The sequence below is a fragment of the Homo sapiens genome, chromosome 5, assembly GCF_000001405.40.
Source record: "Homo sapiens chromosome 5, GRCh38.p14 Primary Assembly".
NCBI classification, from domain to species: Eukaryota; Metazoa; Chordata; class Mammalia; order Primates; family Hominidae; genus Homo; species Homo sapiens.
The window spans coordinates 93,940,823-93,959,910 of NC_000005.10; the positions used below are offsets into that span (position 1 = coordinate 93,940,823).

At 36.2% G+C, this 19,088-nt stretch overlaps 1 protein-coding gene across 35 annotated transcripts in view; it reads right to left on the minus strand.

Moving 5' to 3' along the window:
* ARB2A (ARB2 cotranscriptional regulator A) overlaps nt 1–19,088 on the minus strand; it is a 493,975-nt gene that overhangs the window by 323,098 nt on the left and 151,789 nt on the right. For 30 of the 35 annotated variants that reach the window (XR_007058646.1, XM_005272110.4, NM_001163417.1 and 27 more), the window contains one exon: nt 17,955–18,146. The exons of the other annotated variants lie outside the window; for them this stretch is intronic. Coding sequence is in view for 29 of the 30 variants with exons in the window: in XM_005272110.4 (XP_005272167.1) it covers nt 17,955–18,146 (192 nt within the window). In the remaining variant the exon portion in view is untranslated. The remainder of the gene's footprint in view (nt 1–17,954; nt 18,147–19,088) is intronic. 35 annotated transcript variants of the gene reach the window in all.

Here is a 19,088-nt window from a genome sequence, read left to right on the forward strand (position 1 = left end):
AGTTATTTCAAGTTTAGACTATTTCCTACTACCAAAAGCTAACATTCTTTCTACTTCAGTTCTTCTCAAATTAAAGAAACTCAGGGGATAAGCTGATAATTAATGGAAATAAAAGAGTTTTTAAAATAATGTTTAATATAAAAATATAAAGGCTAAAAACACCAGAAACCACAGGTATAGTGAGAAATGCAATCCTGACCTATCTTTAATGTTTTGAATTTAAACCTAGGCTACTCAAGAATTGTCAACTAATTATTCCAGTTATTGATGACACTTTTCTCTAGGGAAGTTATACTAAAAGTTTAACCCTGGAGCAAGTCACGGCTTCCCCGTTCCTTGAAAGTGTCCAAAGCATTGATTATAACTGCAGGAGGTGTTACCTTCTACCCAGAAAATCTCACCCTTCACAATGTTACACACTCTCTCACTCCCAAAACAGCTCTGATGCAGCAATTCAGATTGCTTCAGCTGATTAAAGGAAGGACCACAGAAAAGGGATCGACATTTAAAGCAAAATAAAAGGAAGAAAAAAAAAATCCAGATCGTGGATATAGTAGCACAAAGCTCAAGAGAAAAGCAGATTTGAAAAAGACATCAGAGTGACTCAAAAAAGAACAACATGACAGAAATTAAACAAGATTTTTATGTTCGCCTTCTATGCATTTAAACTCATCTCAACCTCCACTGAAATTCTGATCATACACAAACCCCAAGCCTTTTGACATACTTTCAAAAACCTACACCCTTTCTTTCTCTTTCTAAGTCTCCAGAGTCACTTCTTAGGTAGCCAAGAAAATACAGAATTCAAATATGCATGTCATTGAAAAATACAAAGGTCAAATTATAATTTTAACCAATATTTTTCATGTAAAAATAATATCTAATTGTTTTAAAATTCAGTGTCTTTCCTCTTTTTAGTGAAAACAGCTAGGTTAGCTGTGACAATTATTTGAAACCAGGTGCAGACACAGGTAGAGGAATAGATAGATATTAGGCATAAGAGACCTTGTAATATTTTTCTTAGGATGATGTCAGAATATCAAAGTGCTCTATACTCTCACAGATTACTCTTCACTTGACCATAGAAAGAACTTAAGCATATCCTTTATTAGTTAATTAGTTCAGTACTAGAGACAATCTAGATGCAAACAGCTATTACAGAATGGCTTATCATATCTCTCTCAAAAACAGTGACCAAAATTCCAGAAGGTAATTGGATTTTCAAAACTGAACATAGTTTCTCCCCGCTCTACCCCATTCAGTCATGACAGGGCCAGAAGGTAATGATATATCTGCCATGATGCAACAAGCAGACCTGTCTTCTGTCAAGAGTTGAAATCATAAAGGAATAAGCTGTCGTTAACAACCTCTCTCCAAACACTAGAGCTGTCATCTCATTGTTTTCTTTGCTGGCATGGGGCTGGGGTGGCCTCGTATACCTTGTCAATTCAGTAATGTGCTAAGCTTTTAACCTTTTCTGGAATTTTTGGCTTCAACAATCTTTTATGAAGTCTCTAATGTAAAAACATATTTTCATTAATTTATATTTTCTCTCAAAGTTTACTTTTAAAATTTAGAATTAGTGATCTTGGTTTCAACTTATAATTTAGAAGTCTTACATTTCAAATAAGAAAAAAATTTGTGTTTATTAAAAAAACTTTTTTTGAAATATAAATTTCAGTGGCTTAAATTCAACCACTCTTTAAGGGAAAAAAAAACCCAATAATCATTCAAAGGAGCTGCTTGCAGTTTTATACTCAAACATTTATTACATGTTAAGTTCACTTAGAAATAGTTAAGTCAATAACTACAAGATCACAATAATCATATTTCATGACTATTTAAAATATATTAATTATAAAAGTAATATCTTTTTAAATATTAAAGTAAAACCTACTCAAAGAAAAAATAAAACAAAAATAAAGAGAAAAACTGAAAATGAAATCTAAAAGAAGAAACTTCGTGGTTTCTTGCATAAACTTCCAGGAACATTAATGTGTATCCATGTATGTATGTAGCTGTAGATGTGTACATGTGTAAGTGTACTTTTTAAACAAATTAGCTCATTTTTCTGTTTTTATCTGGTAACTCTTAGACATCATTCCAGATTTATGAACACACATATATACACATACAACTTGTTATTTTTAATAACTACATAGTCTTCCATGATATGAATATGCCATCATAAAATAAAATGTTCCCTACTGGTGGATGTTTAGTTGGTTAGAATGTTTTGTGTTATTATAAACTGCTGTTATGAGCATCCCTATGTATACTTCATGCACTGCTCTGGTGTAAATTCTTACGAATGAAATTTAAGGTCAAAGATTAGTGTACATGTTAAATTTTGGAAGATATTACTAACCTGCCATCTAAAATGATTACTCCAATTTACATTTTCACTAATATTTAAATATGATATTATCAATTTATTAACAAGTAATTTATAATTTGCCAATCTGATATGTTGAAAAATGGTAGCTTGTTTTAATAAGTATCTCTTTAATTTTCACAAATACTTTCAATGACTATCAAAAAAAGCATCAAAGTCTGTAAGTCATTTGAACAAAGGTATATTTAAAAGTGCCAAGTAATTTTCATATTTTTTCTCTGAGCCCTTAAACAAGAATCTTTTGCCATACTCCACACTCTGTTTAGACTACATAAATATTAATTTTTCATAAGCAGCTAGATGGCATTACTCTTCTTAAAAATAAGCATGTCCTATATTAATATAGTACTTTTATTTTCGTATTATTATCTACTAGGCATAGGTATCCATTATAACCCTGTTAAAATCTTCCTGTCACCAAGTTTGTCAAATACTTATGCTGAAATAGAAAGATCTTGCAGTATTTAGTTTGAAGACTGGAGTTGAGGGCTGTAGTTAAGAACGTGTTAACTAAAAGTTTATTACTGAAATTACTGAAAAATTTCACACCATATTCTAGATAACCATCTATAATGGCTCCATGCTGTGAAAAAAGATCTTAATCCTGTATTCAATCAGCTTTTCAAATTTATTCATCAAAAAACGGGGAAAAATCAAAATGAAATGAAAAGAATCAAAACATTAATGGCCAGAATAGAAAATTAAGCCATAGCTTACGAAAAGAGACATGATTTAGAAACTAAAAAACTCTAACTCAACTTTCAAAGCATTCAGTTCATATTGCAGTCAAGTAACAGTTTAGGTAGTCTTTAGTTTCATTATAATTTAAATAATTTCTAGTAGAAAATCCTAAAATTTTCTAGTGTGATGAATATTGCTACAAAAGGAGGTCATCTTTGAGGTTTACAAAGAATTTGGTTATATATAAATTTACTTTAACATTATTTGTTTTAAAAAGATACAAGTTGTAAAGTGAACTACCTGTCACCGGAACGGCCAGGTTAAAAAAATATTTAATTAAAATGCTACATTGAATTATTTAATTATCTCTATTCTTGCCACAAATGTCACTAAAATCTCATTGAAGAAAAAGAAAAGCCAGACATGGTGGCTCACACCTGTAATTCCAGCACTTTGGAAGGCTGACGCAGAAGGATTGCTTGAGCTCAGGAGTTTGAGACCAGCCTCGCCAACATAGTAGGACCCCATCTCGCCAAAAAAATAAATAAATAAAAGTGTGCCTATACTCTCAACTACCCAGAAGGATGAGGTGGGAGGATCACTTGAGCCCAGGAGGTCAAGGCTGCAGTGAGTCACGATCATGCCACTCAACTCCAGCCTGGGTGACACTCTGCCTCATGAAAAGAAAAGAGGAGAGGAGAGGGCAGGAGAGGGGAGGGGAGGGGAGGGGTGAGGAGATAGGGAGGAGGGAGAAAAGGAGGGAAAGAATGGGAAGAAGAGAAGAATGAAAGAACAAAAGAACAAAAGACAGAAAGAGATGAAAAAGAAGAAAGAGGGGTGGTATTCAAACATCAGGACAAAATAAATGGTAGAAGAGAAAATGGAGGATACAGATGTCACCTCTGTATATATTTGTAGAAGACTAAGTTAATGGAGGAGTAGGTACTGGCTTGACATTACAGCAAAAATTCAAACTTAAGTGCCTCCAGAAGGATAAAATGACTTAAAAGTAAGCCAACTCACCCATAGAAGTCCAGAAATACTCAGAAATTGGGGCACCAGTTATCTTGGAAAACCTTGGAATGTAAGGGTAGGCCATAACACTAAAAACAGGGGCTTTAGTTGTAAGTTCAAGTAAGGAGCAGTTACCCCACTCTCTAAAAAACAGACACCAGAAAACCAAAAACCAGGTCATAATCTGACATGTGTGGCCAACACTGTAAGAGACAAGAGATTTTTCCTTTGCAGAAATGTAATCTATAGGCCACGTGTGGCGGCTCACGCCTATAATCCCAAGACTTTGAGAGGCTGAGGTGGGAGGATCACCTGAGGTCAGGAGTTCGAGATCAGCCTGGCCACACAAAAATTAGCCAGGTGTGGTGGCAGGTGCCTGTAATCCCAGCTACTTGGGAGTCTGAGGCAGGAAGAATTGCTTGAACCTGGGAGGTGGAGGTTGCAGTGAGCTGAGATTGCGCCACTGCACTGCAGCCTGGGCGACAGAGCAAGATTCCATCTCAAAAAAAAAAAAAAAAAGAAATGTAATCTATGGAAGTACTAGACTATGGGACATTAAAGCGTAGAAGAGAGACACAAAGCTCAAATCAGGCGTACTAATCAGAAATCTGCATAATGATTTTAAAAAACAGATCCATTTCAAAATATGATTGAAAAACTTTAAAAATTCTATGGAATGGTTAAAAGAAAAAGTAGGCAATCTCCCAGAAATGACTGGAAATATAGAATAAAAATAAGAAAGAATGGATAAGATACTCATTCCAGTAACTCAAAACCACATAAGAGCTAAATAGAGAAGTGTAAAATTATCAACAAACAATACAAAAAAAGTTTCTCAGAACTAAAGATCATGAGTGAATATAAATGGAAAGACATCACCAAGTGCCAAACAATGAAACAAATAACAATGAAACAAAATACCAAGACTCAGGAAATTTCTTAAAAGCAGTGAGATTCACTTCTTAACACCAGGGAGAAGGAGAAGCTTACATAGAGTGGAACAAAAGGATTCAAGGCCAAAATGGTTTCAAGACTTTCAAATTAAAACACTGGAAACTAGAAGACAATGAAACAAATCCTTCAAATCTCAATAAAAAGTATTTTCTACCTGGAATTCTATGTCTTTTGAATCTTTAAAATAAAGTGAACAAGTAGACTGAAGGCATTTTTCAGAAATGCAAGGGTTCAAAAATTTATCTTCTACTTGATGGGTCCAACAAAATGAGGGCATATATCAAGAAAACACAGATCATTAGATACAGGAAACAGGAGCTTCCTGTATCTAACAATACAGGAAGACAAGACATTGATATTGAAGACAAGAGAGAAACTAAAGTGAAACCCAGGATAATACACAGGTAAGCAGGCTTAGAAAGTGACCAGTCAAGACTGAAACAGAGTCCACAGGGTTCCAAAAGAGAGTACTCCAGAGGAAGAACATGAAACTATGAGATTATCTGATAAGTTAAATCATGTCAAAAATTAAGAGACGAATGAAGATCTGAATTAAAAATACATAAAAAATTAGAAACTAGAAAATTATTAATTCCATGAAAACAAAGATATTGTATCAAAAATGAAAAGCAATCATATTATCTACCTGGCTCAGCCATTAGCAATATTATGGTTGTAGTAGTACTGTAAAGCTTGATTCCTGATTCTACCATAACAGAAAGTGAATGATAAATCAAAAGACAGAACTATAATTTTAAAATATGGATACAATGAGTATAAATAAAACCAAAATGTATTGAAAATGATTACATCTAAGGAACAGGACTAACAGGTAGCGATGGATTAGGAAAAGATAACACTTATTTTGATACTATGTCTTGGTTTTACTTGATTTTTAAAATTACATGTATGAATCACAGTTTTATTCTAATATATTTAAATGTACATTTATTTTCATTTATCTTGCCTTAGATATGCCACACTTCTTCAACAACATGATTTATGCTTTTACTCTCAAAAACATTCAGCCACTAATACATGCTTTTCTCCTATTTTTTTCTGTTGCTTCTTTGAAACATCTGATAGAAGAGTATTATATGTTATTCTATTTTCCATGACTTTTTAATGTCATATTTTTTCTCATTTCCTCTGTGCTATATTCTGCATACTGTCTTCCTTAACTCTAGCTTTCAATTTACTAATTCTCTTTTGATAGTTTAATGATCTGACTTTTCTTGTGATGAATCATTTCTTCATATAATCTGTAGTTTCTGACTGAATTCATCTTCAGTAGGGATTTATTCTAGGTTGTAAAGTGTTCCTATATGGCAGTATTACGCTTGCTTCTGCCAGGTGCCCCAAAGGTTTCATTGGTCCAGAATTCATTTTTATATTAATCACAGTGTTTACGATTTTCACATTAAGTGTGTCACCTAAATTCAAACTGCAAATCCAAATCCACTTCTGGGTTAGGGTCTGGGTCTCCTATTTCCCAAGATAAGTTGTTTATTTACCCTACCTGGTACCTTTAGCAAAGAAACCTCCTTTTAATAATTATCTTTTATTTTTTATTTTAGAGATGAGGTCTCACTCTGTCACCCAGGTGAGGTGCAGTCACACAATCTTGGCTCACTGTATCTTCTTTTTATTATTATTATTATTATTATACTTTAAGTTTTAGGGTACATGTGCACAATGTGCAGGTTAGTTACGTATGTATACATGTGCCATGCTGGTGTGCTGCACCCATTAACTCGTCATTTAGCATTAGGTATATCTCCTAATGCTATCCCTCCCCCCTCCCCCCACCCCACAACAGTCCCCAGAGTGCGATGTTCCCCTTCCTGTGTCCATGTGTTCTCATTGTTCAATTCCCACCTATGAGTGAGAATATGCAGTGTTTGGTTTTTTGTTCTTGCGATAGTTTACTGAGAATGATGATTTCCAATTTCATCCACGTCCCTACAAAGGACATGAACTCATCATTTTTTATGGCTGCATAGTATTCCATGGTGTATATGTGCCACATTTTCTTAATCCAGTCTATCATTGTCGGACATTTGGGTTCCAAGTCTTTGCTATTGTGAATAGTGCCGCAATAAACATATGTGTGCATGTGTCCTTATAGCAGCATGATTTACAGTCCTTTGGGTATATACCCAGTAATGGGATGGCTGGGTCAAATGGTATTTCTAGTTCTAGATCCCTGAGGAATCGCCACACTGACTTCCACAAGGGTTGAACTAGTTTACAGTCCCAACAACAGTGTAAAAGTGTTCCTATTTCTCCACATCCTCTCCAGCACCTGTTGTTTCCTGACTTTTTAATGATTGCCATTCTAACTGGTTTGAGATGGTATCTCATTGTGGTTTTGATTTGCATTTCTCTGATGGCCAGTGATGATGAGCATTTTTTCATGTGTTTTTTGGCTGCATAAATGTCTTCTTTTGAGAAGTATCTGTTCATGTCCTTCACCCACTTTTTGATGGGGTTGTTTTTTTCTTGTAAATTTGTTTGAGTTCACTGTAGATTCTGGATATTAGCCCTTTGTCAGATGAGTAGGTTGTGAAAATTTTCTCCCATTTTGTAGGCTGCCTGTTCACTCTGATGGTAGTTTCTTTTGCTGTGCAGAAGCTCTTTAGTTTAATTAGATCCCATTTGTCAATTTTGGCTTTTGTTGCCATTGCTTTTGGTGTTTTAGACATGAAGTCCTTGCCCATGCCTATGTCCTGAATGGTAATGCCTAGGTTTTCTTCTAGGGTTTTTATGGTTTTAGGTCTAACGTTTAAGTCTTTAATCCATCTTGAATTAATTTTTGTATAAGGTGTAAGGAACGGGTCCAGTTTCAGCTTTCTACATACGGCTAGCCAGTTTTCCCAGCACCATTTATTAAATAGGGAATCCTTTCTCCAGCTCACTGCATCTTCAAACTCTTGTGCTAAAGTGATCTTCCCACCTAAGCCTCTTAAGTAGCTGGCATTACAGGCACTAGCCACAAAGCCTGGCTGGAAACCTTTCACCTCTAAGCAGTGAACTGATTCTTCCCTCTACTCATCCTTTTATTGCAAAGGTGGTAACTTCCAGGGTCTTACCTATATCCAGGACTCTTAGTTTTAGCTCCCACCTCTCAGTCCCAAAGATATAGATCATGTGTATGTGATACAGATCATGTGTGGCCTTGGGTTCATATCTTACTAGCTAACCCCTGAAGCTGCAACACCTTCCAGGGATTTACCACTGTGTTGTAAGTTATCTCTTACACTCAGGCATTTAGGAAATCCTTTTCTTTTTCTTTTAATTTTTGTACGTACCTAGGTGTATATATTTACTGGGTACGTGAGATATTTTGATGCAGGCATACAATAAGTAATAATTACATCAGGCGTGAGCCACTTCTCCCGGCCCACACCCGATGTAATTATTACTTATTGTATGCCTGTAATCCCAGCACTTTGGGAGGCCGAGACGGGCAGATGACAAGGTCAAGAGATCAAGACCATCCTGGCCAACACGGTGAAACCCCATCTCTACTAAAAATACAAAAATTAGCTGGGCGTGGTGGCACACGCCTGTAGTCCCAGCTACTTGGGAGGCTGAGGCAGGAGAATCGCTTGAACCAGGGAGGCGGAGGTTGCAGTGAGCCGAGATCACGCCACTGCACTCCCGCCTGGCAACAGAGCGAGAGTCTCTAATAATAAAAATAATAATAATAATAGTAATAATAATTACATCAAGGTAAACGGGGTGTCCATCACCTCAAGCATTTATCCTGTGTGTTACAATCCAATTATACTCTTTCAGTTCTTTTTAAATGTACAATCAATCATTGCTGACTGCAATCACTCTACTGTGCTCCAAATACAAGATCTTACTCAGTCTATCTCACTATAGCTTTGTACCCATTAACTATCCTCCCTCCCCTACAACCCATTATCATTCCCAGCCTCAGGTAACCATCATTCCACTCTCTATCTCCCTGAGTTAAACTTTCAATTATTAGCTGTTATTTATTTGAGAATTTATTCTCAATAAATTCTCAGTTTTATTTACTAAGAATAAATTTGAATTTGTTCTCAAATAAGTGAGAACATGTGAAGTCTGTCTTTCTGTGCCTGGATTATTTCATTTAACATAACGACCTCCAGTTCCATCTATGTTGTTGCAAATGACAGGATCTCACTCTTTTCTATGGCTGAATAGTATTCCATTGCATATATGTACCACATTTTCCTTATCCATTCATCTGCTGATGGACACTTAGGTTGTTTCCAAATCTTGGCTATTGTGAAGAGTGCTGCAATGAACATGGGAGTGCAGATATCTCTTTGATAAACTGATTTCCATCCTTTCGGGTATATACCTAGCAATGGGATTGCTAGATATCATACACAAATCTATTTTTTTCATTTTTTGAGGAACCTTCAAACTGTTCTCCATAGTCATTGTACTAATTTACCTTTCTACCAACAGTGTACAAAGGTTTCCTTTTCTCCACATCCTCACCAGCATTTGTTACTGCCTAACTTTTAAATAAAAGTCATTTTGGTGGGTGGATCACTTGAGGTCAGGAGTTTGAGACCAGCCTGGCCAAGATGGTGAAACCCCGTCTCTACAAAAAATTCAAAAATTAGCCAGGCGTGGTGGTGCATACCTGTAATCCCAACGACTCGGGAGGCTGAGGCATGAGAATCGCTTGAACATGGGAGGTGAAGGTTGTAGTGAGCTGAGCTTGTGCCACTGCACTGCAGCCTGGGTGACAGAGCAAGACTCGGTCTCAAAAATAAAACAAATAAAATAGGCCAGGCACAGTGGCTCACGCTGTAATCCCAGCACTTTGGGAGGCCAAGGTGGACAGATCACGAGGTCAGAAGTTCGAGACTAGCCTGGCCAACAGGGTCAAACCCTGTCTCTACTAAAAATACAAAAAATTAGCCCAGCATGGTGGTGCATGCCTGTAATCCCAGCTACTCGGGAGGCTGAGGCAGAAGAATCACTTGAACCCAGGAGGTGGAGGCTGCAGCGAGATTAAATCATTCCACAGCACTCCAGCCTGGGTGACAGAGTGAGACTCTGTCTCAAAAAAAAAAAAAAATAAAATAAAATAAAATAAAATAAGTCCTAATAGTATATAAATAAAATAAAAATAAAAGCCATTTTAACTGGAGTGAGATGACATGTCATTGTAGTTTTGATTTGCATTTCTCTGATGATCAACGACGTTGGGCACCTTATCATATGCCTGCTTGACACTTGCATGTCTCCTTTTGAGAAAAGTCTATTAGGATCTTTTACACATTTTTTAATTGGATTATTAGATTCTTTTTCCTATTGAGTTGTTTGAGCTCCTTATATATTCTGGTTATTAGTCCTTTGTCCAATGGATAGTTTGCAAATATTATTTCCCCTTCTGTGGGTTGTCTCTCCACTTGATTGTTTATTTTGTTGCACGGGAACTTTTTGATTTGAGGCGATCCCGTTTGTCCATTTCTGCTTTGGTTGCCTGCGCTTATGGGGTATTAATCAAGAAATCTTTTCCCAGTCCAATTTCCTGGAGAGTTTCTTTAATGTTTTCTTGTAGTAGTTTCATAGTTTGAGGTCTTAAATTTTTTAATCTATTTTGATTTGATTTTTGTATATGGTGAGAGATAGGGGTCTAGTTTCATTCTTCTGCATATGGATAGCCAGTTTTCCCAGCACAATTTATTGACAGACTTTCCTTTCTCCAATGTATATTCTTGGCATCTTTATCAAAAATAAGTTCACTGTAGATGTATGTATTTATTTCTGGGTTCTCTATTCTATTCCATTGGTTGATGTGTCTGTTTTTATGCCATCACCATGCTATTTTGGTTACTATAGCTCTATGATATAATGTGAAGTCAAGTGAAGTGGCTCACGCCTGATGTAATTATTGCTTATTGTATGCCTGCATCAAAATATCTCATGTACCCCATAAATATATACACGTAGGTACATACAAAAATTAAAAGAAAAAGAAAAAGATTTCCTAAATGCCTAAAAGATTTCCTAAATATAAGAGATAACTTACAACACAGTGGTAAATCCCTGGAAGGTGTTGCAACTTCAAGGGATAGCTGGTAAGATATGAACCCAAGGTCACACATGATCTGTATCACACACACATGATCTATACCTTTGGGACTAAGAGGTGGGAACTAAAACTAAGAGCCCTGGATATAGGTAAGACCCTGGAAGTTGCCACCTTTGTAATAAAAGGATGAGTAGAGGGAAGAAGAAACAGTATTGTTAAAATGTACATAGTATCCAAAGCAATCTACAAATTCAGTGCAATCCCTATCAAAATACCAATGACATTCTTCACAGAAATAGAAAAAAGAATCATGAAATTTATATGGAACCACAAAACACTGACAGTAGCCAGAGCTGTTATGAGCAAAAAGAACCAAACTGGAAGAATCACATTACCTGACTTCCTTTAGCATTTCTTGTAGAACACGTCTGGTGTGGATAAAATCACTCAGCTTTTGTTTGTCTGGGAAAGTTGTTATTTCTCTCTCCTTTGTGTTTGAAGAATATTTTCCCCAGATATAGTATTCTAGGGTAAAAGGATTTTTACCATCAACACTTTAAATATATCATGCCACTCTCCCCTGGCCTGCAAGGTTTCAACTGAAAAGTGTCCTGCCAGAAGTATTGGAGCTCCATCGTATATTATTTGTTTATTTTCTCTTGCTGCTTTTAGAATCATTTCTTTATCCTTGACCTTTGGGAATTTATTAAATGTCTTGATGTATTCTTCTTTGGGTTAAATCTGCTTGGAGTTCCATAACTTTCTTAGAAAGTTATAGATATTGATATCTCTCTCTAGGTCTCAGAAGTTCTCTGTTACTTTCCTTTTGAAAAAACTTTCTACCTCTACTTCTCTCTACCACTTCTTTATGGTCAATAACTCTTAGATTTGCCCTTTTGAGGCATTTTTCTAGAGTCTTCTAGGCATGTTTCATTCTTTATTATTTTGTCTCTTATAAATAGCTTGTCTTGAAGCTCACCAATTCTTTCTTCTTCTTGATCAATTCAGCTATTAAAAAACACACATTCTTCAGTCTTTCAACTGCATTTTCAACTCCAGAATTTCTGCTAGGTTCTTTTTTATTATTTCAATCTCTTTGTTAAATTTATCTGATAGAATTCTGAATTCCTTCTCTGTGTTAGCTTGAGTTTATTTAAGTGTCCTTAACATAGCTATCTTGAATTCTCTGTCTGAAAGGTCATATATCTCTGTTTCTCCAGGATTGGTCTCTGGTGCATTGTTTAGTTCACCTGGTGAGGTCATGTTTTCCTGGATAGTCTTGATGCTTGCGGATGTTTGTCGGTATCTGGGCATTGATGAGTTAAGTATTTATTGCAGTCTTTGCAATCTGGGCTTGTTGGCACACCTACTTCCTGGGAAGGCTTTCCAGGTATCCGAAGGCACTTGGGTATTGTGTTATATGTTTTTGGTCCCTGCAGCCATATCTGCATTAGGGGTCACCAGAAGCCTAGTATGCTATGGCTCTGGCATACTGGTAGAGGTACTGCCTTGTTGGTTTTGGATAAGATCTGGAAGAATTCTCTGGATTGCCAGGCAGAAACTCTTGTCTTACTTTCCCCCAGAGTCTCTTCCCTTTGTGCAGAGCTGCCTGAGCTGGGGGAAGGGTGACACAAGTACCCTGTGGCTGCCACCAGTGGCACTGCACTGGGTCAGACCTGAAGCCAGTATGGTACTACATCTCACCTACGGCCTGCAGTAACCACTGCCTAACTACCACCTGTGTCCACTCAAGGTACTACGGTTCTACAACCAGTCAGGCTTGTATCCCTCCCTTCAGAACAGTGAGTTCCCCTCAGCCCTGGGCAGCTCCAGAGACACTATCAGGAAGCCAGGGCATAGAGTCAGATACTCTAGGAACCTACCCAGTTTTCTATTTTGCTGTGGCTAAGCACCCGAGACACAAGACAAAGTCCTTCCCACTCTCCCCTCCCCTTTCCACAAGCAGCAGTTTCTTCCAATGGCCACAACTACCCCACACCTGTGGCAAGTACAGTCTGGCTACTGCCAATATTCACTCAGTATCCAAGGGCTCTTCAGTCCACTTGTAAATGCTACCAGTCCTAGGACTCTCCTGTAAGGGCAGTGGGCTCCCTTCTAGCCCACAGTAGGTCCAGAAATACTGCCCAAGAGTCAAGGCCTAGAATCAAGGACCCTAAGAAGGTTGTTGGGGCTCTATCCCACTATGGCCGAGCTGGTACCTAAGATGCAAGACAAAGTCCCCTTTATTTTTCCCCCTGCTTTTCTCAAACAGAAGGAATCTTTCACCATTGCCACCACAGCTGGGAATGTACTGGCTCTCACCTGAAGCCGCACATCTCAGTCTCACCCAAGACACATGACATACTCCCTGGTATCACTGGTGGTTAGTTAGGGCCCATGGGCTCTTTAGTCAGGTGATGAATCCTGCAATGACTGGGTCCTTCCCTCCAAGGCAGCGAGTTCCTCCTAGCCCAGGATGCATCTAGAAATGTCGTCTGGAATCTAGTGTCTGGAATAGGAGCCTCAGGACTCTGCCCAGTGTCCTATCCTACGGTGGCTCATCTGGTATCCAAGTTGCAAGACAAAGTCTTCTTTACCTTTCCCTCTTTTCTCCTCAAGCACCTCAAGCAGAGGGAAGGAGTTTCTCTTGGGCTGCGAGCTGTGTTGCCTGGGTTGGGGGAGGGGTGGCACAAGGACTCTCCTAGCTGCCCTGGCTGGTATCTCAGTAGATTGCTTGCTAAGTCTACTGCCTCTAAGCACAGCACAGCACAGCACAGCACAGCAAGCACAGCACAGCACCAGTACTTGCCCAAGAATTGCAGTCCTTATGGCCTACACTGCCTTTCAAGTTTATTTAGCACCCCAGAGCACTTTGGCTCGTGCTGTGAGGCTTGCTGGAACTCAGGTTTCAATTGCTAGGATGGGTGATTCCTCTCTGGGTAGGGCTAGTCTAAATGCTCCCTCCATGGATGCCAACTGAGATCTGCCTGGTGTTGCCTTCTGCTGTGACAGGGTAGCACTGAGTTCCAATGCAGAGTCCCACAGTCACTGTGCTCTCCCTCCCCCAAATGCACAGATTCTCTCTCCACACCATGCTGCTGCTGCCAGGACACAGGGAAGGGGTGGCATCGGCGATTCAAGAGTGTCTTTCTTACCCTCTTCAGTGCCTTTTTCAGTGACATAATGTTAAAACCAGGTACTGTGACTGCTCACCGGATTTTCGGTTTTTATGAAGGTGCTTTTTTGTATGTGGATGTTGTTTAACTTGATGTCCTTGCAGTGAGGACATTTGGTGAAGGCTTCTATTTAGCCATCTTCCTCTGCCTCCACTCTCCTCCTTCTCTGTCTTTTGAACACTCATATACAACTAGGTATTTAGTATTTTTGTTACATTTTATTCATTATTTTTATGTGTGTTTATTGGGAGAAGTTCATATTAATAAGCTCAGTCCACCATGTTATGGAAGCCAAACTGTATAAATTACATTAATAAAAATAGCATTAATTTTTAAAACTCAGAAATAATAGCAAGAATATTATAATCAAAGTAAGTAATTATGGAAATAGCAGATTCTTCTGAATAATCCATCTATGAGAAATTAGGGAAAACGCTATCCTAGTGAAGTAATCAGAAATTATTAAAACTAATACCTAGATCACTTATAGATAGTATTTTGAAAGTATCTTTTGTAATTTAAACTTTTACTTTTTTACTGATTTTATTACAAATAGTTTCTATAACTTCTCAATCCTTGTTTTCACAAATATAACTGCCATCAAGTTCTACATTTCCCCTTATAGCTAGAGCCTGAGAAATATAAATAAACCCTCAGCTGTGTGGGACTGCCTGGCCCACATTGCTATGGAAGCTGGGTCATGGCGGGCCAGGACCCTGTGCTCACTCTGGGCCTGGACCACGTCAACATCTGCTCCTACCACTGCCTCTTGGGCATGAATAGAGTTTCCTGCTTTTTACCCCTTTTTAGAGACCAGTGGAAATGCCTAAAAAGGTGTATGTGAGTAAAGGCCATCAAAGAAGAAACAAGTATGAGTAACTCTAAAGCTGCACAATCAGAGGCTGAATAATTGGTACTTGGCTACGTGAAACAGTGTTTCTTACTCCAGGTAACACATTATGCAATGAAGATTGTCAAACACCAAGAATATTAGCGATGGCAACCTCAGAAGCACTTGTGGGGATTTATCTGATATGCACCATTCCTCCAACATGAACTCTTAATACACTTTTGATAATAAAGTCCTGAAGTATCTAAAATGCAAGGATTAGAATACCTATGATTTTCAAACTATGACCTGTGGAGCCCTGGGGCATTTGGTGAAGAAATCTCAGGGGCTGTTGTGGGAGTGGTTCCAATATTCACCATGTCCTCCTTTCAACTTAAGTGGCTTCACATATTTAAACTTAATACTGTTCACAAACCAGTCCAGTTAGACAGGGCTCTACTATTGAAAAAAGGTTTTAACCATAAAATGATAGGAATCCAATTTTAGGAATTTCAGTCTTATACCAAAAATCTGCAGGGAATATAAGGAAATATTATTAACAACACTGAGTAAAGATAATATTGTGTGGCCCCCAAAATATCAGAATTTACTTCAGTAGTGATATGAAAACCCACAGATCATGAAAAACAGACCAGAGGTTCTAACTTCTGGAAAATTTTGGAAATCTTTCTTTAAATAAAACTTTAGAAAAAGTCCAAACAAATAAAAACAAAAGCAGAGCTAGCCTAATTTAAAAAAAAAAAAAAGTAAGAATGGGACAGCTTCTTATTCCCTGTTTATTAGTCTTCCTCTGCCTGCATCTTAAAATACCATCATCTTTCCCTCAACCAACACCTCCCCATCCACAGAGCAACCCTTGAAGAAAACACTATGAAAAGGTAAAGTCAAAGTAGTAAAATCACTTTATCCAGATTTAAAAGTGATCTGTTTCTAAATCACCAGGAAGAAAATTACCATAATAATGTTCATATTCATTTTTTTAAGAAATAAGGAGAATTAAATACATAAACTAAAATTTTTACGTGTGCTGCATGCTTAGAAATCAGCTGCTTCTTTTCAAGGAATCATGAATTGCCATTTTTTTAAGAAGAAAAAAATCAAGACAGTGAAATGCTGTTATCCCCAAAACACTATTCCTACTTATAAGAACAAAATGACTTACTATTGTAATGTTACTGACAAACTTCCTCCCTCCTGTTTGGGATATCACCACAAAGTTTGTTCAAACAAACATGTTTGGCATGGTTTTCCATATAGACTTTCCCTGCGAAATCTTTACACAACAATAAAATATTCCAGAATAGGAAAGGCTTAGGTGATCTATAGCAGGGACAACATAACTACATAAAATATTTCACCTAGCACTGCATGTTGAAAGCATCCGATTTTCTTTACTAAGTTATATTTTCAAATATTCATCAAATTGTGAACACATTTTACATATAATGTTCTTCCGAAAATACATAGACAGGATCTGTTCTAACTACAAACAAATGTGTCAGAGAGAAAGTTCATTTCACTATTTAAAACCTGAAATCCGAAACAGTTTAAACATAATATTTTATGTGAGTTAATTTAGTCTAAACTTCAATTTATTTTTGTTACTTCAATTCTACTAAAATATACACTGTCGAAATTAGCAACCAGATCAAAAGTAGTATCTTTCCATTCTTTGCCTATCCACAAAAAGTGGGAAAAAAAAACATATAGTTAACCTAAGAAATTCTACTTTTAGCATTTTAAGGGTTTCAAAATCTATTAACCAAAATGTTTTTTAGGAGCTGGGCTGAGCCTTCATTTCTCATTTCTGAGTTAACAGAATAGAGAACATGTTACCTTTGACTTTTGTAATCATCAGCGTATTAAAGAAATCCCTTCTAATTTTAATTACAAACGTAATAATTCTTATAAATAAAACAAATAAAGCCTACATGGACACATATATTCCTTTACTTTTTACAAAAGTCTTTTTACAAAAGACTTTTTACTTTTTACAAAACTGATACAAGATATCAGTTTATGTTTTTCTAAAAAAAAAATCTACTCATGTGAAAGAAATTCACACTTTGCAAAATTGGGCTGTTCACTATGGAACTTATGAATGCAATAGTAAAACAAAAGCAGTCAAACATTAAAATATGCCAATATTATGTCAGAAAAACATTTCACTATTGCAAGAAAAGAAACCTTGAACACAATTTAAAAATAGGAGTTTCTAAAAAGTTTGAATGCAAATAAGAATAAAGTATTCATTAAACATTACATTTTGCCATTCTGTATGTCTATGTCTCATGCTTAAAGCATTTTATTTGTGGGCTCTAAAAAACATTTTAAAGAAACGACAAAAAAATTTAGTTATTCCAACTCTTCCTTTAAATAATATGAGATTAATTCAAAGTAGCAGATCTCCTTTAGTTTCTAACTTTACCAAATTAGGTAGGCAAAGGTTTACAAAAGCAGTCATGATATTTTTGTCAGAAGTTATTTTCAATAATGTTGATAAATATTTGATAGTTTGATAATTGATATTTCACAGGATTAAAAATATTTTTAGAAAATATTAACCCTGTCATATTTCACAGGATTAAAAATATTTTAGAAAAATAATTCACTCAAAAGACATTATTTAAATCTTTGTATGCTCAAGATGCCACTTTGTGTTTCTTTGTAACTGCAAAATAATGCAGAATAATCTTTCATACAAGTAAAATAAATAATAACAACCCAAAGATAAGATTATGCTTAGGATATACTTTTTGAAGAAACATAAAAACATATAATAAAACAGTACTATAAAATGCCAAAAAAAAAAACCCAGGAAATTGTACTTACAGCCACAGCTCTTTTAATAAACGGTATCTGTGTGCCACTGTCCAGATCTTCATTTATAATAAGTCTTCTAGCCCACTGCCCTGCCCTGACAACACCACTACCATGAATTAAAACCATCAGTTTCTGTGGATTTGTCAAAGCATCCTCACTCATAAAGATAAAACTCTTTGGTTCACTCTCAGTGGCATCTACCTGTAATTAAATAAAATTAAATAATAAATAAATGTCTTCTGATCAGGCATACACATAAATGAAAAAACAACTAATGGCTGTTACAAAGTATTAAATGGTTACTATAGAATTATAGAAGTAAAAAACAATTTTAACACAAAATTAAAATATTCAGTAGAGGTTAACAATTATATATTAGTTGGATGGGACAAGACATGATAGTAATTTAAATATAAAAATACAAAAAATATTGGTAATATGTTTCTCTTCATTATTATTGTATATTTAGTATTATATTATCATTGTAAATAAAAATAACTACTTTTTTAGTGCCTCCTATAGTCTAGCTGCTATGCTACCTGTTGTAAAAACATTATCTCATTCAATAACAACCCATTTAGGTGGTACTATTATTATATTGATTTATAGATGAAGAAATTGAGGCTTAGGGAGTTTAAATAAGTTGCCCACGGTCACACAACTATAAGTCTATAGTTGTATAACAGAAATATATTGCACCTATAATAAAAAATAGAAAACTAAAATTGGAGATAGACGTATTGGAAAATCATATATCAGCCAGGAATACCACTAAACTTTTAAGGGGAAGAAGAGGAAACTATTTAAAAACTAACCATCTATTCTATTCTTACCTGATCTATGTAAATGGACTTCCAAATTTCATTCAGATTGTGAACACAGGATTATATAACAATTATTTTTACAAAGCCACATTATGTACTCCAATGAACTTACTTTATAAACTAGTTACTTACAGAATAAAAAGTAAATATTTTTATCCATTTTGATTGTACTTAATATTTAGATTGTTAACTATATGATGTATGATTTACATTTGAAAGACACAAAACACTTTTAGAAAGAGATAACTTCCCAACCTTTTGTTACATATGCCATGACACACTGAGTGGTATACCACATCAGCACTGGCGAGTGACTGGA